This window comes from Homo sapiens, chromosome 12 (assembly GCF_000001405.40).
Source record: "Homo sapiens chromosome 12, GRCh38.p14 Primary Assembly".
NCBI classification, from domain to species: domain Eukaryota; kingdom Metazoa; phylum Chordata; class Mammalia; order Primates; family Hominidae; genus Homo; species Homo sapiens.
In genome coordinates this window covers 50,005,089-50,026,392 of record NC_000012.12, presented here as the reverse complement: position 1 = coordinate 50,026,392, position 21,304 = coordinate 50,005,089, and the positions used below count along the sequence as shown (strand labels likewise).

General features: G+C 42.1%; 1 protein-coding gene across 29 annotated transcripts in view, besides 1 other annotated feature; it reads left to right on the top strand.

Moving 5' to 3' along the window:
* The window catches only part of RACGAP1 (Rac GTPase activating protein 1), a 44,279-nt gene that overhangs the window by 7,048 nt on the left and 15,927 nt on the right, over window positions 1-21,304 (top strand). The window contains exons 1-7 of one of the 29 annotated variants that reach the window (XM_047428746.1): window positions 899-995; window positions 5,216-5,331; window positions 6,587-6,649; window positions 7,804-7,877; window positions 9,678-9,762; window positions 19,757-19,959; window positions 21,001-21,137. In XM_047428746.1, coding sequence (XP_047284702.1) covers window positions 7,842-7,877; window positions 9,678-9,762; window positions 19,757-19,959; window positions 21,001-21,137 — 461 coding nt within the window. In that variant the 5' untranslated portion in view covers window positions 899-995; window positions 5,216-5,331; window positions 6,587-6,649; window positions 7,804-7,841. Of the gene's footprint in view, window positions 1-898; window positions 1,066-5,215; window positions 5,332-6,586; window positions 6,650-7,803; window positions 7,878-9,673; window positions 9,763-19,756; window positions 19,960-21,000; window positions 21,138-21,304 lie in introns of those variants that run through there. The other 28 variants (XM_047428748.1, XM_047428747.1, NM_001126103.3 and 25 more) reach the window with 28 other exon arrangements.
* Window positions 947-1,036: an enhancer, noted in NCBI's record as "active region_6338". NCBI's record gives its function as "activates an Ori minimal core promoter by ATAC-STARR-seq in GM12878 lymphoblastoid cells {active_cell/tissue: GM12878}" and the evidence as "EXISTENCE:reporter gene assay evidence [ECO:0000049][PMID:35858748]".

Sequence of the window (21,304 nt, the reverse complement as noted above, 5' to 3'; positions counted from 1 at the left end):
CCCTCCCCCAAATCTGTGATCTTTCTTTTCTTTTTTTTTTTTTAAATTAAGGACCAATGTGACAGTAAGTGATCTTTCCTTTAAACCACAGCGCTTCTTGTATGCTCCAGCCAGTATTTTTCCAAATTGCGGGTAGCCATGCGTTGTTGAGTAGTGAGTTCTGGGTACTTTGCATGTAGTAAGGATGAGCAGAGTTTTCATTACCCGGTTGCAACGTAAAATGTATTTCTCACTGTGGGTCCAGAGTTTTTAAAAAGCATGAAAGCTCCTGTGCTAGCACAATGCCAAGTTCTAAATAACGTTTATTAAATGGAATTATAGTATTTTATTTTCATTTTGTATTTATTTTTGTTTTCTAGAGCTATCGCCTCCATTCGTAGCTACTGGACAGTAGAGACCATACCATCTTTATTTTTCCGATTCCCAGTGGAGTGCTTGTGATGATGTGGGCTCATTCAATGTGTGTCAAATAAAAGTCTGAATGGATACATCAATGGAAGGGATAATATAGCTCAGTGAATGTGCTTGAAACTAACTGCTGTTCTAACTCCTGGTATTCTTCTGATTCTACTGTGAGAGCTGACATTGTTCAGTTAATCGTTTCCAAGGGCCCTAGTCCCGCAGACAGTGAGACCAAGAATAATTCGCATTCAGGAAGTACCACTTGCCCTTAGTCAATATGGCATCCTGAATGACTTCCGGAAAGGGCACCGCAAAAAAAAACAAAAAAAACCGAAAAACCGTTGACATTAGTCAAAATGGCCACCTTTGGCTTCGCTTTGTCAGAATGCGCATGCTCATTCCCGTTCCCGTCACCTCCGCGTGGCCCTGACGCGTACGTCACACCGTAGAGGGACGGCGCGGGAGGAATAAATTTCTCTGTGATTGGTTGGTGAAGGTTTTCAAACCGGAGCTGTGGGCGCGGCGCTGCTCTGCCGTTGGGTGAGGCGCGGAGCGAAGTGAAGGGTGGCCCAGGTGGGGCCAGGCTGACTGAAGTGAGTAGTGGGGGTGCCAGACCAGGTGCGTCTGCCGCTGGATTGTGATAGGAAGCAGAGTGTTCGTGTGGTGAGCCGTGGCCGCCGCGGGGGTCCGGGACAGCGGGACAGCGGGACAGGCTGGCAGCCACAGCCTCTCCACTCGGGCTTTTCTGGGGTGGGGGTCGTGGCAGGTCGAATGGACGCGGCCTGGGAGGGTCGGGGGCTTCTGTCTTGGCGCCGGGTTTTGTGGAAAGCCGGGGGCGTCTTTTTGAGGTGGTGGCTGGACCAGGGCAGGAGTCATCCTAAACAAGAGTCTCTCAGTCAGATACGAGTTTAAGAGTGGTTGGAGTGACACCCCATCGTTTTCGAAGGGAAGAGCCCTGGTGTTTGAGAGGCCCGGGCGGCCTGCAGTGGAGCCCCTCTACTTCGTGGGTCTCGTATGTCTAGGGAGGCAAGGCAAGGCAATGACATCTTGTCCTTCTCATCCTGATTCTTACCCTCAGTAACAACGAGGCCTTACTTGTACACTTTCACGTACATTTCTCTTCACAGGATTTCATCCGTAGGCCGAGAGGTGTGTGTCGGAAAGTGGGGGTAGGTGGGTAGATAAGCCCTTTTTTTTTTTAAGAAAGCATTATCTTTCTAATGTGTCGGGTAAATAAGCTTTCCGAGTTATTGTAGGTGTTTAGAGAAGGCGCCTTTCCTGTAGCTTAATCATTCAATAAGTATTTATCTTTTGGAGGGGACTTAAAAAAATTTTTGTATATTTAGGGGGTACAAGTGCAGATTTCTTACATGCATATATCGCGTCGTGGTGAGGTCTGGTCTCTTAGTGTCCCCATCACTCAAATAGTGAACATTGTACCCAATACGTAGTTTTTCAACCCTCAGCCCCCTCCACCTTCCCATCTTTTGTATTCTCCAGTGTGTATTATTCCACTCTGTATGTCTGTGTACCCATTGATTAGCTTTCACTTATAAGTGAGAACATGCGGTATTTGACATTCTGAGTTATTTCACTGAGGATAATGGCCTCCAGTTCTATCCATGTTGCTGCAAAAGACGTGATTTCATTCTTTTTTATGGCTGAGTAGTATTCTGTGGTGTATGTCTGTCTATATATTACATTTTCTTTATCCAATCCTTCGTTGATGAACACTTAGGTTGATACCGTATCTTTGCTACTGTAAATTCTGCTGTGATAAATATATCAATGCAGGGGTCTTTTTGATATACTGATTTCTTTTTTTTTTTTGAGACGGAGTCTCGCTGTGTCGCCCAGGCTGGAGTGCAGTGGCGCGATCTCGGCTCACTGCAAGCTCCGCCTCCCGGATTCACGCCATTCTCCTGCCTCAGCCTCCCGAGTAGCTGGGACTATAGGGGCCCGTCACCACGCCCGGCTAATTTTTTGTATTTTTAGTAGAGACGGGGTTTCACCGTTTTAGCCAGGATGGTCTTGATCTACTGACCTCCTGATCTGCCCACCTCGGCCTCCCAAAGTGCTGGGATTACAGGCATGAGCCACCACGCCCGGCCGATATACTGATTTCTTACCCTTATACCCATTAGTGGGATTGCTGGATTGAATGGTAGTTCCATTTTTAGTTCTTTGAGAAGTCTCCATACTGTTTTCCATAAAGGTTGTACTAGTTTACTTTTTTTTTCTTTTTCTTTTTCTTTTTTGAGAAGGAGTCTTGCTCTGTGGTCCAGGCTGAAGTGCAGTGGTGCGATCTTGGCTCACTGCAAACTCTGCCTCCCGGGTTCAAATGATTCTTCTGCCTCAGCCTCCGGAGTAGCTGGAATTACAGGTGTGCACCACCATGCCTGGCTAATTTTTTATTTTTAATAGAGATACGGTTTCACCATGTTGGCCAGGCTGGTCTTGAACTTCTGGCCTCAAGTGATCAGACTGCCTTGGCCTCTCAAAATGATGGGATTAGAGGCGTCAGCCACCATGCCTGGCCTGTTTACTTTCATTCAATAGGTATTTCTTAAGTGCAAAGTGTAAGTAGAAGACAGTCTTATTTGGTCTTAAAGAATGTGCAGTTAATTTGGGGTAACAGAACTTAAAAAGATAACTGGTGAGTCTGGTAAGCCTATACACTGTTGAAAGTACTGTGCATTAGTACATCCCTTTTAGAAAACTTTTTGGCACTATTAAGAGCCATAAAATGTTTTTACACCCTAATATAGCACTCCTAGCCTTGGAAATCTAGTCTAAGGAAAACAGTCACCTGAAGAAAAATATTGTCCATAGGAATGCTCAATTCATTTATTCACCAAATATTTATTAGTCATTTACCAAATGTCAGGTACTGTTCTAGGCATCAGGGAAGAAAACACAAAAATCTCCGCTTTCTTGGAACTTAAGCTAGAGGAGAAACAGACAATAAACTGAATAAATATGTAAGTATGTTAGATGGAGAGAAGTGCTTTGGAACAAAGTAAAGCAGGGTAATGTTAGAGAAAGGCTGCAGTTTACAATAGGATGGTTGGAAAGACCTCACTGAGAAAGCAGCATTTGAGTAAAGATATTTGAGGTGAGAGAGTGACCATGCAAGAGATTCCAGGCAGAGGTAAGTGAAAAACTGGAAATGACCTAAACGTCCAAAGAAGAGAATAGTTAAATAGTTGTTCATCAACTCTTTAGAACTTAATGGAAACATGATAGAAGCAAAACACAAAATTATATGTAATGTATGATTGTAACACCATGAAATAAGAGTGTAAAATGGGCAAAGATTAGATCAGATGGTACATATAGTTGTTTAGGATAGTGAGATTTTTGTTTTGCTATTAATTTTTTGTTTTTGTTTTCGTTTTGTTTTTTTTTGAGACAGAGTTTCACTCTTGTTGCCCGGGCTGGAGTGCAATGGCGCCATCTTGGGTCACTGCAACCTCTGCCTCTCGGGTTCAAGCGATTCTCCTGCCTCAGCCTCCTGAGGAGCTGGGATTACAGGCATGCACCGTCATGCCTGGCTAATTTTGTATTTTTAGTAGAGACAGGGTTTCTCCATGTTGATCAGGCTGGTCTCAAACTGCCGACCTAAGGTCATCCACCTGCTTCAGCCTCCCAAAGTGCTGGGATTACAGGCGTGAGCCACCACACCTAGCCTGTTTTACTGTTAACTTTTTGAACATAGAAGATTAATAATAAACAGTATTTTTGTATCTGCTAAATGAATGTTATAGATAATAAAGGAAATCATTTTGGACTGAAATGGTTAGGGAAGGCTTCAGTGAATTGGTGAGACTTATTCTAGACCTTGAAGGATGGAAGACCAGAATAGGAAGAATTCACAGGGAAAAAAAGAGGTATTCAGTATGCTGAACTTCTAGTAATTTTCTGAAAAATCACAATTCAAATCTTCCCTTCCTTATTTTAGTCTTCATGTTGGATTGAGAACATTTTGTTTACTCTCTGCAAGTGATTTGCTTATAAAGAACATTTGGTTTCAAGATAATCCTTCTGTCCGCCAGTTGTATTAGAGACTTTCGATACAGTGAAGCAGAAGCTGGACATTTCAGGAAAAGAATTGTCCTCACATTGTCCTCAAATGTGTTCCTATGAAAGGATCTTAAAGTACTGAGATTATCTTTGAGAATGGTTTTCCTTGACAGCAGGGAATCTATATTGTTGATTTCTTGGAAATCTCCAGATTTAGCAATGTTTGTGGGAAAGTTTTTCATTAAAACACTTTCCTGAAAAACTCCAGCAACCTTTCATTGCTTTGTCTTAAAGTATTTAACACCCTTGATGCATCTAAAAAACCTGATATATAGGTCTCTTAATAATGTTGTTTGAAGGAGGAGGAAGAAGAGGATAGAGACTTTTCCCAGGATACCCTGCAGTAAGATCTGTAATAGTCTGTTTTTCTGAAGGATGATATCTACCTCTTGGCTGGGTGATTGAAATTAAATTGGGGGCTCAAAGCAATCACATCCAGCTGAGACTCTTTCATGGTGTTTCCAGATTGCTCCCTTAGGGATACTCACAGATTGGGAATCTGTAACATACTGACTTCTCCACCTCTGGGGTTCCCCATCAATAACAGCTGAGATTCTCTAGCACCTTTTGGTTTAAAGTGCTCCACAAACTGAGTTTCTTGCTGCACGCAGGGATCGTTTCAGCTTTCCCGAAAAGGCAGCAGTCTCTGTTGTGGAAAGTGACAGCTGTTTTACAGCTGCAAAAGCAATGTACTACAATATGACTTTGTTTTTGTTTCCTTTCACATTAGTGTATCTCCTAGCTATGGACTAAATAATACATGGGGGGAAATAAACAAGTATTCATGAGGGTGAAAATGTGACCCAGCAGGAAAATTACAACTATTTTCAATTGACGTTGAATAGGGTGAGTAAATTTTAGCTTTTTGAGTTACAATTTGGCTGAGATATCAGAGTTAGTACTGATATAGAAAGATATTTTTGTCATCTATAAATAATTCCTGAGAGTCACTTCTGTAGAATGTTAATAAAAATATATGGTCCCCTAGCATATAAAGAGAAGAGGATTATATTCTGCTAGTGCCATTTTTGGATTACCCTAAGTAAATCTATGTTAGAGGAAAAAATAACTCTTCAGAAGCAGCAAACCTCATCTAGAACAGCTTGTTTAAAAGCCTAGACCTGGCCAAATTTTGCTGTTTCCTTGATTCTTCTTGGTCTGGGTTCCAGCTATAATTTGTGTTTTATATGTGTTGCTGTTTGTATGACATGTTATGGTTTGCAGGAGGTCTCTGAGTAGGTCTGCAACATATATGGTCTAATTGATATTTTTGTAACTTATCTCTTCAATGTGTTGGGTTGGAGAGAATATAGATTTTGGACTCAGACCTGGGTTTCAATGAGAACTCGACATTTATTGGTTAATTTAAGGTTTCTGGACTTAGTTGCCCATTGTCTGTAAAATGGAGATAATTAAGTTAGTGAGGCCAGGCATGGTGGCTCACGCCTGTAATCCCAGCACTTTGGGAGGCCGAGGCAAGCAGATTGCTAGAGGTCAGGAGTTCGAGACCAGCCTGACCAACTTGGTGAAACTCCATCTCTACTAAAAATACAAAAAAAAAAATTAGCTGGGCCTGGTGGTGGGCACCTGTAATCCCAGCTACTCGGGAGGCTGAGGCAGGAGAATCACTCGAACCCTGAAAATGGAAGTTGCGGTGAACCGAGATGGTGCTACTGCACTCCAGCCTGGGTGACAGAGCAAGACACCGTCTCAGAAAAAAAGTCAAATTCACTTAAAGAAAAAGTGTACGTGAAGTGTCTAGTTTAGTGCCCGAATCATTTCAAAGCACCTAGTAAATACTGGATTCTTTTCTTTCTAATTGTATAGTATTATTTTTAAAAATGGTCTAAAATTCTGAATTTACTGATATCCTTATTTGGAGACAGCCTAGGGGGGAAAACACCTAGATTTGAGAATCACTGTTTTAGGATGGAAGTAACAACTATCAGACCAAAACCAAACCTAAACAAAAGAAACTCACTTCATACCAACTAAAAGATACCTTATATTTTGGTAGTGAGATTGTAAACTTATACATTTTAAAATTTTTGTAATATTCTATGAGGTAAATAGAGCAAGTGTTATTGTTTTCACTTTATAGATGAGTCATGGAATTTAAGTGATTTACTGAAGATTATACTACTGGTAGATAGAAGAGCTAAAGGTTTGTCCCAGGACCTTTTTATTTATTTATTTATTTATTTATTTATTTTAAGAGAAGGGGGTCTTGTGATGATCAGGGTGGTCTCAAACTCCTAGACTCAAGTGATCCTCCCACTTCAGCCTCCTGAATAGCTGGGACTACAGGCACGCACCACCACACCCATCTTGTCCCAGGACTTCTGCTCCCTCTCCCGCTTTTAACTGTTCTTTTTGCTTTAAACTATATTACACGTTGATGTTGAGGTAGAATGGAAATTCTTTTGACCATAGCATCACAGATATGTGTGTGTTTGTTCTCTGAATTAACACTTATCAATTTTTTTTTGTGAGCATCATATTAAATGCTACATGCTTGTGTGTGTAATATAGTAGTGCCGCATGTAAGGTTTCTCCCCTCAAATTTATATTCTAGCTGGGACACAGGGCAGAATCATATGGTAAAGTTTAATTCAAGTGCAAAGAGTTTGTATCTGAGTGGCAACTGCCTGAAGCAGTAGGGGAAGGACTGGAGGAAGGGAGTGCAATTGAAGTGAGTGGTGACAACCTGCAAGTGATAAGGGGGTGGGTATGGTAGATACATGAGAGAAGAGTACACAAGGTTTAGTGATTATGCTGTGGGAAGGGGAGGAACCAGAGGTGATTCTGAAGTTTGGAACTGAGCGACTGAGAGAATGATAAAAATAGGGAAATCAAAATTGGAAGTCAGTAGGGTATGGGATAGGGTAGGTCAGTGAGTAGCGTAGTTGATGGACATGAACAGGAAGAGTAGAACAGTGTCAGGAGGCTGAGGCCGGAGAATCACTTGAACCTGGGAAGCAGAGGTTGCAGTCAGCTGAGGTGGCGCCAGTGGACTCTGGCCTGGGGGACAGAGCAAGATTCTGTCTCAAAAAATTAAAAAAAAAAAAATGGACAAGAGAACAGGTTATATTGTAATTTAAGACTTAAAACCCCCCCTAAAAAAGCTTTTTTTTAAACAACCAGTTTTCAACATCCTAGCACCATGAAATTTTCCTTTTTGAATTCTTGGACAGATAGAAGTTTTGCCGTGGTATTGAGCTGTCTTATAGTCTCACGATATATAAGTGAATGCCGAGATGATAGAAAGTAATACCTTATATTAAAACTACTGATTAGAGTCTTCCATTTTTACCTCAGGAGAGCCAAAGGAAATCAACATTTGAATTGACTACCCAATGTCCTGCCCCTGTTTCTGTCCTGTAGCACTTAGGGTATGTTGCCTATTTCATTATATGTTAAATCCATGGCATCTCCATGAATTCCACAGCTCTTCCTGCCGGTTTTAATGCTATCCTTTTAGTTTTGTTCTTAGTTTAGAGAAAGATCTTTGTAATAAATTTGTTGGTCTGGTTGCTTAGCAGCTTGCTGTGATTATGTAGCTTGGAACAGATACTTGCCGTTTGAAAATCTTGGTTTCCGGCCCTGATTCAGGTATATGTTGCATCCAGGCTTGGAACTGAGAACTTTTTTTCTATTATAGCAATTATCATATGAGTATAAATGTATAATTCTGCAGCATTTAATATATAAAATATCTTCATGTTTATATATTCTTTTTTTTTTTTTTTTGAGACAGAGTCTTACTCTGGCACCCAGACTGGAGTGCAGTGGCACCATCTTAGCTTACTACAACCTCTGCCTCCCAGGTTCAAGCGATCCTCCTGCCTCAGCCTCCCAAGTAGCTGGAATTACAGGCACACATAACTGTGCCCAGCTAATTTTTGTGTTTTTAGAAGAGACGGGGTTTTGCCATGTTGGCTCAGGCTAGTCTCGAACTCCTGACCTCAAGTGATCCGCCCGCCTGGGCCTCCCAAAGTGCTGGGATTACAGGCGTGAGCTGCCGTGCCCAGCCTATGTTCATATATTCTTTGTCCTTTGTGCTTTTTTATATATTTTTTCTTGCTCTCATAGCTTGTGGTGCAATCTTGTAAACATTGCAAAATCACTAACCCTTCATAAGAGTTCTTAAAATTTTATTTAGGAAATAAGGACCTGGACTAGAATGTTGAAGCATTGGTTAAGAGAAACACAAGAATCCTTTAATGGTATTTCTGAGGACATTAAATTTCTAATAAAATTTGACTTTTTATTTCATTTCCTTGATAGTTTTCATAACATCCAGTTAATGTCTTTCTTTCTTGACTGTTAAGTGAAGATCTTATTTCCTCAAAGTGTTCCCAGTTAAAGTCTATTTGGAATAGAACCGCCTGTAACGACACTGTTTTTTCTATAGTATCAGCAGGCCTTTGAGGGGAAATACAAAGTCTGAAATTCACTATACAGGACACAGTAGCAAATGATTTTTGCTTTGCCCTTCGAACTGTGAAGGTGCTGTATTGTCTCTCTGATGCCAGAATGTGGTACAACATAATCCTTTGCCTCTACTTAGTATAAATTTATTAGACGTAGTTCCTGCACGCAGCCCAGCAGAGAGCCCTGTATTACAGAAATAATTCTTGTGCTGCTGAGCTGGCGATTTTCCCACTTAATCACTCATGTGACGTCATCTGTGCTTTTGGTAGGAAATGTGCTGACCATGTCCTGCATTTTAAAAGGCAGTTGCAACAGGGGCATTAGCTAAAAATGAAATTAAAAATAGATATTTTAAGTTACATTGTAGGTCTTCAAAGCCCACAAGGAATAAACTGGCAAAATTATTATATTAATCAATAGGCTTGACTTGAAGAACCACATTTTCTTGTTGGTCAGTCACTTGCTAATGAACTGACATGCTCTTTCCTATTTGTTTTCTGCTCCAAGTGATTGGAGGGGCTGTTATATTCAAAGGTCTGAAATGGTTTTCTAATTTTCAGATGAGTCTTAAACATTCCAAGTTTGTTTTTATAATAAGAATCACACAAAACATCTGTTGTTAGCTTGAGATTCTTATAATGGTAGTTATAAATGGAAGAGTCCAGATGTTGGTCACTAATGGCTGGATTGCTATAGAATCTTTTGTTGTGGGCGAGAAGGCAGGACCCCTAATGTATATTTGATTTCTTGGCAGAAAGATGGATACTATGATGCTGAATGTGCGGAATCTGTTTGAGCAGCTTGTGCGCCGGGTGGAGATTCTCAGTGAAGGAAATGAAGTCCGTAAGTCATTCTGAGCTGGCCTGTCCAAAGGAAAAACAGATTTCAAATTTGGGATTTTTACAAAGCTGAAGTATTTTCCAATCTTAAAGTTGTTTTCCATTTGGGTTACCTAAAAAGAAAGCAGTGATCACTTACGTGGTCAAAGCCTAATGGGCACTCATTCTAAATGGTCACTAAAATTCTTTTCTATAGCTGCTCTTAATAGGTTTTAGCCAGGCTTTTTTATTATCTTTATTTATTTATTTTTTTGAGATGGAGTCTCTCTCTGTCACCCAGGCTGGAGTGCAGTGGCGACATCTCGGCTCACTGCAACCTCTGCTCCCCGGGTTCAAGCGATTCCTTGTCTCAGCCTCTCGAGTAGCAGGGATTACAGACACACGCCACCACGCCCGGCTAATTTTTTGTATTTTTAGTAGAGACGGGATTTTGCCATGTTGCACAGGCTATTCTTGAACTTCTGACCTCAGGTGATCCGCCCGCCTCGGCCTCCCAAAGTGCTGGGATTACAGGCGTGAGCCACCGTGCCCGGCTGCTTTTTTATTATCAAGATTCTTTTTCCACTGAATAGTTGGCACTATTTTCTGTGCCATGAACTGGGAAAAATTTACTAGGATGTTGCTTTTTTCTTTAGAGTAGTAGTTGTCTTTTTTTTATCCTGGATTTTCTTTGTGTTCTATAAAGCATTTTCAGTTGAAGTGGGAAAAATTCATAATTTCTTCTTTTTTCTTTTTTTTTAAGAATCTCATTCTGTCACCCAGGTTGCGCCACCATGCCCAGCTACTTTAAAAAAAATTTTTTTTTAAATTTTTTTAATTTTTTTTTTATTTTTGAGATGGAGTCTTGCACTGTCACCCAGGCTGGAGTGCAGTGGTGCGATCTCGGCTCACTGCAAGCTCCGCCTCCTGGGTTCACGCCATTCTCCTGCCTCAGCCTCCTGAGTAGCTGGGACTACAGGCGCCCGCCACCACGTCCGGCTAATTTTTTTGTATTTTCAGTAGAGACGGGGTTTCGCTGTGTTAGCCAGGATGGTCTCGATCTCCTGACCTCGTGATCTGCCCGCCTCGGCCTCCCAAAGTGCTGGGATTACAGGCGTGAGCCACTGCGCCTGGCCTTAAAAATTTTTTGTAGAGATAAGGTCTCCCTATTTTACCCAGGCTAGTGTCCAACTCCTGGCCTCAAGCAGTCCTCTCACTTCTGCCTCCCAAAGTGATGAGATTATAGGCATGAGCCACCAGGCCCAGTCCATAATTTCTTTTTGAAGGAGATACTAGGCATTTGCTTTCACCTACTTCATATATTTGATGCTAAATAATTAAGGATTGAGAGCCAGGTTTGGTGGTTTGCACCTGTATTCCCAGCTACTCAGGAGGCTGAGGCAGAAGAATCACTTGAGGCCAGGAGTTTGAGACCAGCTTGGGCAACATAGCAAGACTGTCTCTGAAAATATTAGCGGTCGGGCATAGTGGCTCATGCTTGTAATCTTAGCACTTTGCAGGGCTGAGATGGGTGGATCGATTGAGTCCAGGAGTTTGAGACCAGCCTGGGCAACATGGCAAAACCCCATCTCTCTCTTTTTTTTTTTTTTTTTGAGACAGAATCTCACTCTGTCACCCAGGCTGGAGTGCACTGGTGTGGTCTCGGCTCACTGCAACCTCCACCTCCCTGGCTCAAGCAATTGTCCTGCCTCAGCCTCCTGAGTAGCTGGGATTATAAGTGTCCGCCACCACACTCGGCTAATTTTTGTATTTTTAGTAGAGATGGGGTTTTGTCATGTTGGCCAGGCTGATCTTGAACTCCTGACCTCAAGTGATCAGCCCACCACAGCCTCCCAAAGTGCTGGGATTACAGGTATGAGCACCTGGCCACAAAAACCCCATCTCTACAGAAAAAAAAACAAAAACAAAAAAACCCGCCAGTGTGGTGGCATGCTCCTGTGATCCCAGCTACCTGGGAGGCTGAGGTGGGAGGATCACTGGGGAGGCAGAGGTTGCAGTAAGCTGAGATCACACTCCTGTACTCCAGCCTGGGACAGAGCGAGACCCTGTTTCAAAAACAAAAAAATTAGCTGGGTGTGGTGACACATGCCTGTGGTCCCAGATACTCAGGAGGCTGAAGTATCACTTGAGCCCAGGAGTTTGAGGCTACAGTGAACTATGATTGTGCCACTGCACTCCCGCCTGGGTGAAAGTGAGACTTCAATTCCTGGGGGGAAATAATAAAGAGAATTGAGATGGGGTGGTGAGCTGGGGAGAAAAAGGAGGTGCTAAGAAAGGAACAGTCTGGGAAATAAATTAGCAAGAAAGAATAATGGGGATGATGGTACTGACATGTGATCCAAGGGAATTATTCTATACCAGCTTCTCTTTGTATTACCATCCTGTCCTATTTCAGATTTTCATTAATACCTAATTTAGTAAATGTTGCTCTCAAGTCAGCCTCACTGGTGTTAATGTAAGAACTGTGTCTTGAACTTTTTTTATTTCTATAGTACTTACTTGTGGTATCTTGCTTATGCCATTCAATATTTTTTTTGAATTGATTGATGTTTTTAATAGCTCTTATCCACTTACAGGCCTTTCAAAACAATATTCTATTTTCTCTCTCTAATAGCTGCTGCATGACCCTGTCATCTGGTACCAGCTCAGTAACCACAATGGCATACTAATTAGGTTTCTCTTTGAGGTCACATCATCTCAGAAGATGGATCAGAGTGTGGTGGGGACTAGAGTAGGGAATAAGAGATATTAAAACTCAGATTCATTCAGCAAATATTTTGTGAGAACCTATCAGGGCTTCTAGCATTTTTGAGTTGAGGGAAAGGGATGACTAAATGGTGTCATGGAGGAAAGGGTTTGAGCTGAGCTTTAGCTGTAGGGTAGAATCCCAAGAGGCAGAGATGAAAGGGGGTATTTTAGATCAGGCGACAGCCTGAGCAGAGCAAGAGGGTGTGGGACTTGAGGGAAATAGGAGTAAGGGGGTGTGACATAATCAGAACCGTGCTTTGGGAAGATTACCCTGGCAGAGGTGTAGTCTGCATTAGAGGTGGATGCTGGTACACTGACTAGGAATGACATGGTTGTCATAGCTCAGGAAAGAGGCAATAACAGCCCTAACTGGAATGGTGGTTATGAAGATGGAAGGAGGGAGAAATGGGTAGAAGAGATTGTGATAATAAGACCTGTAGAAGGAGGCAGCTGATAGAATATGGGGGCAGAGGGAAGAATCTGTGGTTTAAGAGTGTTGATAACTAGTGCTGGCTTTTACCTGTTATTTCTGTGTCTGTTTTTCCACCTATAAAATAGGAATTTAAACATCTTTATTTTCTTTGTGGGAGTGCTATGAGGATTTGGGCATAAATTGAGATATTAGTTGTGAAAATACTTTGGGAAATGATTATGCCAAAAATCTCCCAAGATATTTATTTTTACAGAAATCCTGATTTTATTGTATAAGCAAATTTTTACCTTCCCATTTATTTCTATTATAAAACAGAGGTACATTTTACCTCCTTCTCCAGATCTCTAATTTGGAATGTTGGCTTTTTTTATTTTTTATTTTTATTTTTTGAAACAAGAGTTTCACTCTTGTTGCCCAGGCTGGAGTGCGATGGCGCAATCTCAGCTCACTGCAACCTCCGCCTCCCAGGTTCAAGTGATTCTCCTGCCTCAGCCTCCTGAGTAGCTGGGATTACAGGCATGCACCACCACACCTGGCTAATTTTGTATTTTTAGTAGAGACGGGGTTTCTCCATGTTGGTCAGGCTGGTCTTGAACTCCCGACCTCAAGTGATCCTCCCACCTTGGCCTCCCAAAGTGCTGGGATTACAGGGGTGAGCCACCGCGCCCGGCCCTCATTTATTTTTTATTTTTTTTGAAACAGAGTCTCACTCTGTTGCCCAGGCTGGAGTGCAGTGGTACGATCTCAGCTCACTACAACTTCTGCCTCCCAGGTTCAAGCAATTTTCCTGCCCCAGCCTCCTGAGTAGCTGGGATTTCAGGTGTCTGCCACCATTCCTGGCTAATTTTTGTATTTTTATTTTTATTTATTTATTTATTTTTTTTATTTTTTTGAGATGGAGTTTCACTCTTCTTACCCAGGCTGGAGTGCAATGGCACAATCGTGGCTTACCGCAACCTCTGCCTCCCAGGTTCAAGTGATTCTCCTGCCTCAGCCTCCCGAGTAGCTGGGATTACAGGCATGTGCCACCACGCCTGGCTAATTTTTTTGTATTTTTAGTAGAGACGGGATCTCACCATGTTAGCCAGGATGGTCTCAATCTCCTGACCTCGTGAACCACCCGCCTCAGCCTCCCAAAGTGCTGGGATTACAGGCGTGAGCCACCGCGCCTGGCAATTTTTGTATTTTTAGTAGAGACAGGGTTTCACCACGTTGGCCAGGCTGATATTGAACTCCCGACCTCAGGTGATCCAACCGCCTTGGCCTCCCAAAGTGCTGGGATTACAGGTGTGAACCACCATGCTCAGCCTAGTTTTTATTTTTTTGGAGACAAGGTCTCGCTCTGTTGCCCAGGCTGGAGTACAGTGGTGAAATCATAGCTTACTGCAGCGTTGAACTCCTGGGCTCAAGCAATCCTCCTACCTCAGCCTCCAGAGTAGCTGGGACTATAGGCTCATGCCACTACACCAGCTAATTTTTTTTTTTTTTTTTTTTTTTTTTGAGACGGAGTCTCGCTCTGTCGCCCAGGCTGGAGTACAGTGGCACGATCTCGGCTCACTGCCAGCTCCGCCTCCCAGATTCACGCCATTCTCTTGCCTCAGCCTCCCAAGTAGCTGGGACTATAGGCGCCCGCCACCACGCTCAGCTAATTTTTGTATTTTTAGTAGAGACGGGGTTTCACCGTGTTAGTCAGGATGGTCTCGATCTCCTGACCTCATGATCCTCCTGCCTCGTCCTCCCAAAGTGCTGGATTTATAGGCATGAGCCACCATGCCCGGCCCACACCGGCTAATTTTTATATTTATTTTGATTATTTTATTTTGAATTTTTATTATTTATTTTGTCTCCCAAACTACTATAAACACTACTTTTGTTTTAATTCTATTTTTTGTAGAGACAAGGTCTTGCCATGTTTCCTGGGCTGGTCTTGAACTCCTGGGCTCAAGCGGTCCTCCCACCTCGGCCTCCCAAAGTGCTGGAATTACAGGTGTGAGCTACCGCACCTGGGCAAATGTTGGCTTTTGAGGAACTAAAGTGACCCTGTGTTTTTTAGACACTAGAATCAGGTTTGTGCATCCACCCCAGTGTCTGTCCTCTTTTTTCTTTTTTTTTTTTTTTTTTTGAGACAGTCTCACTCTGTCGCCCAGGTTGGAGTGCAGTTGTGTGATCTCAGCTCACTGCACCCTCCGTCTCGTGGGTTCAAGTGATCCTCCTGCCTCAGCCTCCCAAGTAGCTGGGATTACAGGCGCATGCCACCAAGCCTGGCTAGTTTTTGTATTTTTAGTAGCGATGTTTCACCATGTTGGCCAGGCTGGTCTTGAACTCCTGACCTCAAGTGATCCACCTGCCTTGGCCCACCAGAGTGCTGGCATTACAGGCGTGAGCCTCTGTGCCCAGCCTGTACTCTTCTTAGATCCTTAGGAATTCCCCACATGCCCAAGTATCCCTTGACTCCTTACTCTTGCCTTTCATCATTAACTTCATTCCTCTTTCTCTTTTTTGTATTCATTTTTTTTTTGAGACAGAATTTTTCGCTCTTTGTTGCCCAGGCTGGAGTGCAATGGCGAGATCTCGGCTCACTGCAACCTCCACCTCCCGGGTTCAAGTGATTCTCCTGTCTCAGCCTCCCGAGTAGCTGGAATTACAGGCATGTGCCAACACGCCTGGCTAATTTTGTATTTTTAGTAGAGGTGGGGTTTCTCCATATTGGTCAGGCTGGTCTCGAACTCCCGACCTCAGATGATCCACCTGTCCTGGCCTCCCAAAGTGCTGGGATTACAAGCGTGAGCCACGGTGTCTGGCCTGTATTGTTTTTTAAAAAGCTAAGTCCGGGCCGGGCAAAGTGGCTCACACCTGTAATCCCAGCATTTTGGGAGGCCAAGGCAGGTGGATCACTTGGTCAGGAGTTCAAGACCAGTCTGACCAACATGGTGAAACCCCGTCTCTACTAAAAATACAAAAAGTTAGCCGGGCGTGGTAGCATTCACCTGTAATCCCAGTTACTTGGGAGGCTGAGGAATGAGAATTGCTTGAACCCAGGAGGTGGAGGTTGTGGTCAGCCAAGATCATGTCATTGCACTACAGCCTGGGCAACAGAGTGAGACTCCATCTCTTAAAAAAGAAAAAAAAAAAAAAGTTAAAAAAAGAGAGCTAAGTCCAAGTTACAGGAAGATCAGAATGAAAGTTAATATTTTAAAAAAGATGACTTTAATAGCATATTTTGTTGTCTTGTTTTCTCCAGTCCACACAGTTTTTATGTTCTATTTTTAATTTTTCATAAGCTGCCTGAGCTTTTTAAAAAAAATCATTGGTGTATAAATTAGGAATAAGTATAATTTAACATTTATCAGGTGCCTGTTGTGTGCCAGTGACATACTAGGTTTGTGCTACACTATGCATAGTAGGAAATAATGAAGTATATATGACATATTGCCTGTCTTCAAGAAGATTATGGTATTTTAGTTTCAGAGACAGGATTTTTTTCTCATGAAACAGAAGATAGTACAAGTATCAAAATATATGCTTTTGGGTAATCTAGAAAAATTTAGTGTGTAGCAAACTGATTAGGAAAAGATTCACAGACCAGATGGGACTTGGTAAATGGGTATGTAATAGGTAGGGCATTCCATTTGGAGTGCATAGCTTGGTCACAAGTGAGAAGGCAGGAATGCCTCTGTTCTGGGGGCAGGGACAGACTGGTTTAGCTAGAGGGGTATTTATTGCATAGTGGTGGGAGGTAAGTTTGATTAAACTGGTAAGGTGGTCTTGGATGCTGGTAAATTTAATTTGAACAGCGGCTTTTCATTCATTCATTTGTTCAACAGATTATTTCAAGTGTCTACTGTGTGCTAGGCAGGTTACAACACTGGAGATAAAAGAGCAAAGGAGACATAGGGTCTTTGTCTTTAAGAAGCTTAGAGAGGGTAGTAGGGAAGGCAAATGGAAGAGCCTGTTCAAAGGCCTCCGGGAGTAAATGGAAAAAAAAAATCAGGATTTCTGGACCCACTTAAATTTGCTTGCTGAGCTATGAACCAAATCCTGATTTTTAAATTTTAAATAAATCAAAGATCACCCTCAATTTGTTTTGAGGAAATTTCCCTTCTCTTTCCTCCTTTTTGATAGGGGCACTTCATAGTTTAGGGTGTACGTAACTTTTTAAAGGAGGTACTGTAATTTGAATTTTATAAATCTTTTTTTTTTTTTTTTTTTTTGAGACAGCATCTCACTCTGTTGCCCAGGCTGGAGTGCAGTGGCACGATCTCAGCTCACTGCGACTTCTGCCTCCTCGAGTAGCTGGGATTACAGGCGCACACCACCACACCCAGCTAATTTTTGTGTTAGTAGAGACAGGGTTTCACCATGTTGGCCAGGCTGGCCTTGAACTACTGACCTCAAGTGATCTGCCTGCCTTAGCCTCCCCAAATGCTGGGATTACAGGCATGAGCCACCGTGCCCGGCCTGAATTTTATAAAGCTTTTAATGTGCACTTCATGGCAGGCTGGTACCAAGCTGAATTGTGATTCACCAACTGACCAAAACAGTGCCATGATTATTGGTCTTCAACATCAAAATTGTTTCTGATCTATGGCCCAAAATGCCTTCTGACCCAATCCCAGCAAACTTTGCTCATAGCAGAATTGTACATAAAAATAGTATCTTTCGGCCGGGCATGGTGGCTTATGCCTATAATCCTAGCACTTTGGGAGGCTGAGGCAGGTCAATCACTTGAGGTCAGGAGTTTGAGACCAGCCTAGCCAACGTGGTGAAACCCCATCTCTAGTTAAAATACAAAAATTAGCCAGGTGTGATGGCACACGCCTGTAGTCCCAGTTACTCAGGAAGCTGAGGCAGGAGAGTTGCTTGAACCTGGGAGGCGGAGGTTGCGGTGAGCCAAGATTGTGCTACTGCACTCCAGTCTGGGTGACAGAGGAAGACTGTCTCAAAAGTGAAAAGTAGGCTGGGCACAGTGGCTAACACCTGTAATCCTAGCACTTTTGGAGGCCAAGGCAGGTGAATCACCTGAGGTTAGGAGTTTGAGACCAGCCTGGCCAACATGGTGAAACCCCGTCTCTACTACAAATACAAAAATTAACTGGGCATGGTGACACACACCTGTAATCCCAGCTACTCAGGAGGCTGAGGCAGGAGAATTGCTTGAACCTGGGAGGCGGAGATTGCAGTGAGCCAAGATTGCGCCATTGCACTTCTGCCTGGGCAACAAGAGTGAAACTCTGTCTCAAAAAAAAAAAAAGTAATATCTTTTTTTTTTTTTTTTTTTTTTTTTCACATTTCTCACCTGCACACACAAAAAGTAATATATTAATCAGGTATGTAAATGTTCTGCTTTGGGTCTGACTTAAACTAAGCTGAAGCAGTAATTTAATAAAAGGAGTATCCTAAAGAACAAACAAACCAGCAAAATTAGGTCAGATGAAAATCTTTTTATTCTCAAAATTGTTTTTCAGTTCGGTAAATATTTTGAGTGTGTATGCATACGGTATTTAGTTTGCAAACATATATGTTTTTTTCTTTAAGCTAAAAAAAAAAACCCACAAAAAAGTAGTATGTTCCAGACTAACCCAGCATATTATTTCTTAAAACTATTTGAATTGTAATATTTTTTTAATTGTTGATATCCGCATTGTTTAAGATAACTAGGTCATAATAACCTATTTTGCTGAAATTTGTGGTTTGTAAAAACTAAAGTTTCCTTATTACTTGGTTTTTCTGGAACAAATTGGTATCCTGATTTGTAAGTTTGATATTTGGTCAAATGATTAAAATTGTTTAAAAAGGACTATGTATTGTTTCTATGCTTTTAGGTTAAATTCATAGGGGAAAAGTGCCCTTACTACCTAAGAATCTGCTAGCTGTGTGTGAATTTGGCCTAGTTTCAGTTTTAACTGGGTTAGTTTGACCAGCAGCAGATGTACACCTTGAGACCTTCTTCCTTGATGTTGGTGGAGAGTGATCCTTAGAGATAGACGGAGGTTAACTAGAAAATTGTAAGGCACTTTTGCAAATACATTGCAGAACAGCTTTGCCAATAGCAGGAGATAAGAATGAATGCCAACAGGGTTATCTTCTTCCTTTGAGATGCTGCCTTGGAAGTGATGTTCTCTTTGCAGACATTTGAAGAGACTTCACATTCTGCTATCAGGGATGTTCCAAAAGCTAGTTTGATCTTCTCTTCCTGTTTTTTTTTTTTTCAACTGGAATGTTTACATACCCTTCAGGGCAGTGTTAAACAGCAAAAGCAAATTGGCTTTTTACTTTCAAATCAATATTTGTATAATTATATAGCCAAATGGAATTGTAGGTCTAGACATCTGTAATATTAATCTACATCTACTGGAGCATATTACAGCAGTTACATTTGAATTTGCTGTTTAACATCTCTCTGGTGCAGCAATGCGTGACTGTAAAGGAAACTGTTTTTGTTTTATAGCTGTAACTGTCCTGGTGCATGACAGCTGCCCCAAAGGTATCCCCCTTTGATTGCCTTCTGTTCAGGAGCTTTCAGTGTTAGTGTTACATCTGGAGCCAGGTGACTAATGAGTTACATATTCCATAGCAGATGCCACTGGCTAAGCCAAAAGTAAGTGGCCTATTGAATAGGAATTGCTACCCACAAAGTTCTCATCAGAGTGACAAACATATCCAGGATCTGCTCCTAGTTATTTTCAGCTGGATTTGCCCATAGTTCAGCTGGTTCCTTAATTATGAATTTCAAATAAAGCTAACCGTAGGACTCATTTATTAGAGCAGTTATACTCTGTTTGGTGCTTGAATTATTAAAGATTCCCCCTTTCCTCAGAATTTATCCAGTTGGCGAAGGACTTTGAGGATTTCCGTAAAAAGTGGCAGAGGACTGACCATGAGCTGGGGAAATACAAGGATCTTTTGATGAAAGCAGAGACTGAGCGAAGTGCTCTGGATGTTAAGCTGAAGCATGCACGTAATCAGGTGGATGTAGAGATCAAACGGAGACAGAGAGCTGAGGCTGACTGCGAAAAGCTGGTGTGTATTGTTTTCCGTGCTAGAACAGTGATGATGCAGGAGGGGGAAGGCATTGTCTGACAGTTTCCACTTGCCAAATATACCTAGTTTCTTCTTCCACATTAAAGAACTGAAAGTGACCTGTTCTTTAACAGCTTGCCCATGATTAGAGCTGAAATTGCAGACTAGGAATCTTGTTCTTCATAATTTGAAATTTAAATGTTTTTGTCACTTAGACTTGAAACTTACTTAACAGACAGATTTCAAATGAGAACTTAAAGAATTAGAGGAAAAGGGAGGGAGGGAGATCCTAACGTACTTGATCTGTCACAAGTTATTGGCCATCCTTCATTGTTTATTTTAAGTGCTACCCGGAATATCCATCCTTACATGAGTAGCTGGTACTTTGTCATACATACAGGCAAGACAACTGTGACTCTTCTTTTCATCACCCCTCTCTAATTCAGGGTAAAAGGCTAGATGTATTCAACCAGTTGAGCAATGTGACTGACACAGAACACTATCATTTTGATGTGCCAGGATGGGTCATAATGCAAAGGAAAGCCTTTACTGGGAGGGACTAATCCATCTTGGTATACAGTGTTAGATGCCTCAGTAAACTCAAATTGTCTGGTTCCAGTGCATTATAGCTTTGTATCCATTTTAATGCATTTTGCTCCACTACTTTGAGAGGTGGGTGGCTGCTTTGATCCGTAGAAGCCAATATTTGTCCTGATAAAATGACACTAAAGTGTTTTTGCTATGTGAAATCTATTTTGGGACTCTCATTTTGCATTATTCTCCTCTTGGATTAGCAGGTTAATCCAAAAGTCTTGTAGCAGAAACTTCGCTGTTCTAGATGTAGTTCATTTTACCAGTCAGAAATCAGAGACACAATCTGGGTTTGATGTGAATTAATATGCTATTGGTGTAGCAGCCTTCCTGAAGGTCCATTTGCATAATGCTGCATTTTAATGTCTTCTGGTCTGCCTGTCCCATAAACTTGAGGTGAAGCTTTCTCCCCTGGCTAGTTATGATGTTTTACTTTGCTTTGGTCTGTAGGAACGACAGATTCAGCTGATTCGAGAGATGCTCATGTGTGACACATCTGGCAGCATTCAACTAAGCGAGGAGCAAAAATCAGCTCTGGCTTTTCTCAACAGAGGCCAACCATCCAGCAGCAATGCTGGGAACAAAAGGTGGAGGAACTGCATCTGTTGTTATCCTATCACAAGCAACACAGGCTGTCAGATATTCTTGTTATCTGAATTCTTAAATATACTTCTTCTAGAATGTGTGCTGAAAAAAGCAGAAAAAGATTTTGTGGGGAGAGTAGGTGGGGAATAAAGGCACAGGGATGTCCCTG